The following is a 7,120-nucleotide window of genomic DNA, read 5'->3' on the forward strand; positions in this document are numbered from 1 at the left end:
TAAACATGCTGAGAACACTTATATTAGCCTACACTTAGGCAAAATCATCCAACACAAGACTATTTTTAAATGAAGTGCTTAACATTTCATTCAATTTATTGAATACTGCACTTAACAGGAAAAATCGAATGGCTGTATGGGTACTTGAAATACAATTTCTACTGAATGCATATCACCTGTACACCATTGTAAAACTGAAAAATTCTAAGTCATGCCATCATTAAACTGGGGACTGTCTGTATATATTTCCCTTAGTCTCTGGTTTGCTTTTTATTTTCCTTAATGGTGTCTTTTGAAGAGCAGAAGTTTAATGAAGTTTTAGTAAAGTTCAGTTTATATCGATTGGATTACTTTTTATGGTTAGTGCTTTTTGTCTATGAAATCATTGTCTACTCAAAAGGCACAAAGCTATTCTCCTATATTTTCTTCTGGTACTTATATATTTTTAGTTTTAGCTTTTACAATAAACCTATGATACATTTCGAGTTATTTTTGTATATGGTGTGATGTCAGGGTCAGGATTCTTTTTTTTTTTTTTTTTTTTTTGAGATGGAGTCTTGCTCTTTCACCCAGGCTGGAGTGCATTGTCGAAATCTCGGCTCACTGCAACCTCTGCCTCTTGGGTTCAAGCAATTCTCCTGCCTCAGCCTCCCAAGGAGCTGGGAATACAGGTGTGCAGCATCATGCCCAGATAATTTTTTTTTGTACTTTTAGTAGAGATGGGATTTCACCACGTTGGTCAGGGTGGTCTCAAACTCCTGACCTCAAGTGATCCACCCTCCATGGCCTCCAAAAGTGCTGAGATTACAGGCATGAGCCACTGCACCTGGCCAGTATTCTTTTTTTTTTTTTTTTTTTTTTTTTTTTTGAGACGGAGTCTCGCTGTCGCCCAGGCTGGAGTGCAGTGGCGCAATCTCGGCTCACTGCAGGCTCCGCCTCCCGGGGTTCACGCCATTCTCCTGCCTCAGCCTCCCGAGTAGCTAGGACTACAGGCGCCCGCCACCTCGCCCGGCTAATTTTTTGTATTTTTAGTAGAGACGGGGTTTCACCGTGTTAGCCAGGATGGTCTCGATCTCCTGACCTCGTGATCCGCCCGCCTCGGCCTCCCAAAGTGCTGGGATTACAGGCGTGAGCCACCGCGCCCGGCACCTGGCCAGTATTCTTTTCTGTACATATGAATATCTGCATTATTTTTCCCTCATATGGATATTTAGTTTTATAGCATCATTTGTTTTAAAAAATATATACTTTTCTGACCAAGCACCATGGCTCACGCTTGTAATCCTAACACTTTGGGAAACCGAGGCGGACAGACTACTTAAGGTCAGGAGTTCAAGACCAACCTGGCCAACGTGGTAAAACTGTCTCTATTAAAAATACAAAAATTAGCCGGGCGTGGTGGTGCATGCCTGTAATCCCAACTACTCGGGAGGCTGAGACAGGAAAAGTCCTTGAACCCGGAAGGCAGAGGTTACAGTGAGCCAAGATCTCGCCAAAGTACTCCAGGCTGGGTGACAGAGTGAGACTCCATCTCAAAAAAGAAAGAAAGAAACACATATATGTGTATGTGTGTGTGTGTGTGTGTGTGTGTATACACTTTTCCCATTGGATTATCTTGGCACCTTTATTTAAAAACCAATTGGCAGGCTGGACACTGTGGCTCACACCTGTAATCCTAGCACTTTGGAAGGCAGAAGCGGGTGGATCACCTGAGGTCAGGAGTTCGAGACCAGCCTGGCCAACATGATGAAACCTCTTCTCTACTAAAAATACAAAAATTAGGCTGGGCACTGTAGCTCACGCCTGTAATCCCAGCATGTTGGGAGGCCGAGGCGGGCAGATCATCTGAGGTCGGGAGTATGAGACCAGCCTGACCAACATGGTGAAACCCTGTCTCTACTAAAAATGCAAAAATTAGCCGGGCATGTTGGTGCATGCCCGTAATCCCAGCAACTTGGGAGGCTGAGGTGGGAGAATTGCTTGAACCTGGGAGGTGGAGGTTGTGGTGAGCCGAGATCGAGCCTTTGCACTCTAGCCTGGGCAACAAGAGTGAAACTCCGTCTCAAAAAAATAAAATACAAAAATTAACCAGGCGTGGTGGCAGGTGCCTGTAATTCCAGCTACTCGGGAGGCTGAAGCAGAGAATCTCTTCAATCTGGGGGGCGGGGGTTGCAGTGAGCCAAGATCTAGCCACTTCACTCCAGCCTGGGTGAAAGAGCAAAACTCAGTCTCAAAAAATAAAAAATACAAAAAATACAAAATCAATTGGCAGCTAGGCGCAATGGCTTAGGCCTGCAATCCCAGCACTTTGGGAGGCCGAGGTAGGTGGATCACTTGAGGTCCAGAGTTCGAGACCAGCATGGCCAACACGGTGAAACTACATTTCTACTAAAAATACAAAAATTAGCTGGGTGTGGTGGTGCGCACCTGTAATCCCAGCTATTCAGGAGGCTAAGGCAGGAGAATCGCTTGAATCCAGAGGGTGGAGGTTGCAGTAAGCCAAGATCGTTCCACTACACTCCAGCCTGGGTGACAGAGTGCAACTCCATCTCAAAAAACAAACAAACAAACAAAAAAAAACTGGGTGCGGTGGCTCATGCCTGTAATCCCAGCACTTTGGGAGGCCAAGGCAGGTGGATCACTTGAGGTCAGAAGTTTGAGACCAGCCTGGCCAACATAGTGAAACCCTGTCTCTACTAAAAATACAAAAATAGCCTAGCGTGTTGGCCTGTGCCTGTAGTCTCAGCTACTCGGGAGACTGAGGCGGGAAAATCGCTTGAACCCAGGAAGCAAAGGTTGCAGCAAGCCAAGATCGTGCCACTGCACTCCAGCCTGGGTAACAGAGTGCGACTCCATCTCAAAACAAACAAACAAACAAACAAACAAACAAACAAAAACTAATTGGCCATATATGTGCATGAATTCATTTTGGAATCCTCTCATTCCATTGATCTATATGTCCATTATTATGTTTACACCACATTGTTATGATTATCATAAATTTATAGTAAGTTTTATTTTTTATTTTTTTTCGTTTTGAGACGGAGTCTCGCTCTGTCGCCCAGGCTGGAGTGCAGTGGCGTGATCTCGGCTCACTGCAAGCTCTACCTCCCGGGTTCAGGCCATTCTCCTTCCTCAGCCTCCCGAGTAGCTGGGACTACAGGCACCTGCAACCAAGCCCGCCTTAGTTTTTGTATTTTTAGTAGAGACGGGGTTTCACTGTGTTAGCCAGGACGGTCTCAATCTCGTGACCTCGTGATCCGCCCGCCTCGGCCTCCCAAAGTGCTGGGATTACAGGCGTGAGCCTCCGCGCCCGGCCAGTAAGTTTTTTTTTTTTAAGATGGAGTTTCTTGTCACCCAGGCTGGAGTGCAACGGCGTGATCTCGGCTCCCTGCAACCTCAGCCCCCCCAGGTTCAAGTGATTCTCCTGCCTCAGCCTGCCGAGTAGCTGTGATTACAGGCGCCCACCACCACGCCTGGCTAATTTTTTGTATTTTTAGTAGAGACAGGGTTTCACCATGTTGGTCAGGCTATTCTTGATCTCCTGACCTCAGATGATCCACCCACCTCAGCCTCCCAAAGTGCTGGAATTACAGGTGTGAGCCACCCGCACCCGGCCACTCTTATTTCACTTAACATAGTATCCTCAAGATTCATCCACGTTGTAGCATGTGACAGGATTTGTTTCTTTTTAAAGCCTGAATAATATTCATTATACGTGTATATCACATTTTGTTTTTTCATTCGTCAATGACATTTGTATTGCTTCTACCTTTTGGCTATTGTGAATTGTGGCGCTATGAACATAGGTGTGCAAAGATCTCTCTGAGATCCCTCTAAGTTTTTTGTTTTCTTTTTTATTTGTTTTTTTTTTTTTAAGTGAGATAAGGTCTCTGTTGCCCAGGCTAGAGTGCAGTGAAACAATCACAGCTCACTGCATCCTGAACTCTTGGGCTCAAGCAACCTGTCTGCCTCAGCCTCTCAAGTAGCTGTGAATACAGGTACTTGCCACCATGCTCAGCTAATTTTTTTATTTTTTATAGAGACTAGGTCTCACTATGTTGCCCTGGCAGGTCTCAAATTCCTGGGCTCAAGCAATCCTCCCTCTTCAGCCTCCCAAAATGCTGGAATTACGGGTATGAGAAACTGCACTCGGCTTCCTCAGGGTAGTTCAAGCTACTAGGAACTGAAACAGGAGGATTGCTTGAACCCAGGAGGTCAAGGCTGAAGTGAGTTATGATCACACCACCGGTACTTTAGCCAAGGCAACAGAGTGATTCCTGTTTTATGTTTATTTCAATGGCAAGAACATCATTGACATTAAATGTCAACTCGGGAATTTTGAGGAGGTGAGAGCCTCCTGTGTAGGAATACTTCTCTTTCTTATCTCTACTATTTGGTTTGCCATGCATATGCTTATGGATTTTTAGTTTGGGTTGCAAAAAATACCCACTTGGTGTCCTAGTGTATTGTATATATGTGTGTGTTTGTGTGTGTGTGTAAATAGCTATTTAACAGAGGAAAAAGGGAAACAATAATACTTGTAACATAAACATCTGAATTATGTATTTGGCATCTCAGCCAGAATCATTTGAACCAACTGCATTTTGTACTAAGTCACTGGGATTACAGGTGTAAGCCACTGCGCCCGACCTAAATTTTCAATCAATATGTGCCAAGTGATTATTATTTAAAAATATTAGCTTGAGAAGAGTTCTCAGACTCAATTTTATTGTCATGAGCCTCTTACAGTGAGGTCTCACAGACTTCCTTTTTCCTTCATGCCACTGACTCTGAGACCATCTGGCACTATGACACCTCCGTTGGGTAATCAAGCCATAAACCAAAATCTTTAGTCTCCAGTTCCTGTACTGCCTTTCTCAAAATGCAGCCTGAGTCTGAAAAATAATGCCGTAACCAAGGACTCCAACAGCTATTTAATCATCTATCAAACCTGAAATAAAAACCCAATTTTGGCCGGGCACAGTGGCTCACGCCTGTAATCCCAGCACTTTGAGATGCTGAGGCAGGCAGATCACATGAGGCCAGGAGTTTGAGACCAGCCTGGCCAAGATGGTGAAACCCCGTCTCTACTAAAAATACAAAAATTGCCAGGCGTAATCCCAGCTGCTTGGGAGGCTGAGGCAGGAGAATCGCTTGAACCCGGGAGGTGGAGGTTGCAGTGAGCTGAGATTGCGCCACTGCACTCCAGCCTGGGCAACAGAGTGAGACTCTGTCTCAAAAAAAAAAAAAAAAAATTAGCCCGGTGTGGTGACACACACCTGTAATCCAACTACTTGGGATGCTCAGGCACAAGAATTGCTTGAACCCTGCAGGCAAAGGTTGCAGTGAGCAGAGATCGCACCACTGGACTCTAGCCTAAGTGATGGAGGAGAGTCTGTCTCAAAACAAAACAAATCAGTTTCCAGGAGAAATTTCAGAAATTGGAAGAAATTAGAGACTTTTGATCAGTCTGTGCATTTTTGTCATAGACTTCAATTCTCTTCCAGGAAATGCTTTTGAGTGTGTATGGGGTTTTTTTGTTTGTTTGTTTGTTTTTTTAATTAAACAATTAATTGCAGTAAGGCAAACAAAAGTGAAATAAGTGGCCGGGCGCGGTGGCTCACGCCTATAATCCCAGCACTTTGGGAGGCCGAGGCGGGCGGATCACGAGGTCAGGAGATCGAGACCATCCTGGCTAACACGGTGAAACCCGGTCTCTACTAAAAATACAAAAAATTAGCTGGGCGTGGTGGCGGGCGCCTGTGGTCCCAGCTACTCGGGAGGATGAGGCAGGAGAATGGCGTGAACCCAGGAGGCAGAGCTTGTAGTGAGCCGAGACCGCACCACTGCACTCCAGCCTGGGTGACAGAGCAAGACTCCATCTCAAAAAAAAAAAAAAAAAGTGAAATAAATGTTCTAAGGAAAATCAGGGGGTTGTCTTCCCTAAGGCAAAAAATAATTCAGTACCACAGGGAAGTAACATGACTAGAATTGGGGTTTTTTTAATTTATGTTTTATTTTTTGAGACAAGGTCTTACTCTGTCACCAGGCTGGAGTGCAGTGGTGCAATGAAAGCTCATCATAAGCTCAAACTCCTAGGCTCAAGTGATTTTTCTCTCCTCCTCCGCCTCCCAAGTAGTTGGGACTATAGGTGCTCAACACTGTACAAGCTTATTTTATTTTTTTAATTGTTTTAGTAAAGGCGAGGTCTCGTTATGTTGCCCAGGCTGATCTGAACTCCTGGGCTCAAGCAGTCCTCCTGCCTGGGCCTCCCAAAGTGCTGGGCGTGCACCACAGCACCTGGTCCAGAATCGGGTTTTCAAAGAACCACCACAGCTGCAGTGTAGGGAATAGGTTAAAGGGCAATTGTCGTAACAAACCTGCCATAGATACATGGAAATAGAAAAAGCTGGAGTGGGAAATAGGTTACTTAAAAGGAATTGAATACTGCAAAAGAGTTCGTGTGTACTCACACACACAAAATCATAAACAGAGACAAAAGTAAAAATACCTGACTCAAGAGGAGTGTGCCTTTCATCGTCCCATAGTTTATCCATGCAGCCACTGAAATTATATGCAAAACATTTTGTGTTTATGTGCATTATTTTCTGGGGGAGTGTCTACATGTTTTATCAGGTTCTTAATGGGTCCTTCAATCCCCCAGACGTAAGGGTTTTCATAGATTTGCTTTTCCCCATTTAAGTCAGCAGAGGGCAGAAAAACAATAGAATTAGTAGAGCCAACCACAACACAGAAATTGCTCAAACTCCTCCAGTCCCTCTCAGTTTCTGCCATCTGTTTCCTGCCTTTGCTCTAGATAAAATTCCCTGACATCTCCCTCTGTCAAAATACTACTATCTCTGAATAACCATATCAAGATAAGCAGACCTTCTTCTTCTTCTTTTTTTTCTTTTTTTTTGAGACGGAGTCTTGCTGTCACCCAGGCTGGAGTGCAATGGCGCCATCTCGGCTCACTGCAACCTCTACCTCCCGAGTTCAAGCGATTCTCCTGCCTCAGCCTCCCCAGTAGCTGAGACTACAGGCGCCCGCCAACACGCCTGGCTAATTTTTGTATGTTTAGTAGAGGCAGGGTTTCAGCGTGTTGGTCAGGCTAGTC

The 7,120-nt window shown here is 44.9% G+C and overlaps 3 annotated features.

The window, feature by feature from the left end:
* Positions 1,526–2,027: an enhancer, noted in NCBI's record as "H3K27ac hESC enhancer chr12:7824935-7825436 (GRCh37/hg19 assembly coordinates)". NCBI's record gives its function as "activates a minimal SCP1, AML or CMV promoter by ChIP-STARR-seq in primed H9 embryonic stem cells {active_cell/tissue: H9 hESC(primed)}" and the evidence as "EXISTENCE:reporter gene assay evidence [ECO:0000049][PMID:30033119]".
* Positions 2,028–2,527: an enhancer, noted in NCBI's record as "H3K27ac hESC enhancer chr12:7825437-7825936 (GRCh37/hg19 assembly coordinates)". NCBI's record gives its function as "activates a minimal SCP1, AML or CMV promoter by ChIP-STARR-seq in primed H9 embryonic stem cells {active_cell/tissue: H9 hESC(primed)}" and the evidence as "EXISTENCE:reporter gene assay evidence [ECO:0000049][PMID:30033119]".
* Positions 6,630–6,699: an enhancer, noted in NCBI's record as "active region_5919". NCBI's record gives its function as "activates an Ori minimal core promoter by ATAC-STARR-seq in GM12878 lymphoblastoid cells {active_cell/tissue: GM12878}" and the evidence as "EXISTENCE:reporter gene assay evidence [ECO:0000049][PMID:35858748]".

The sequence above is a fragment of the Homo sapiens genome, chromosome 12 (genome assembly GCF_000001405.40).
Source record: "Homo sapiens chromosome 12, GRCh38.p14 Primary Assembly".
Taxonomy (NCBI): Eukaryota; Metazoa; Chordata; class Mammalia; order Primates; family Hominidae; genus Homo; species Homo sapiens.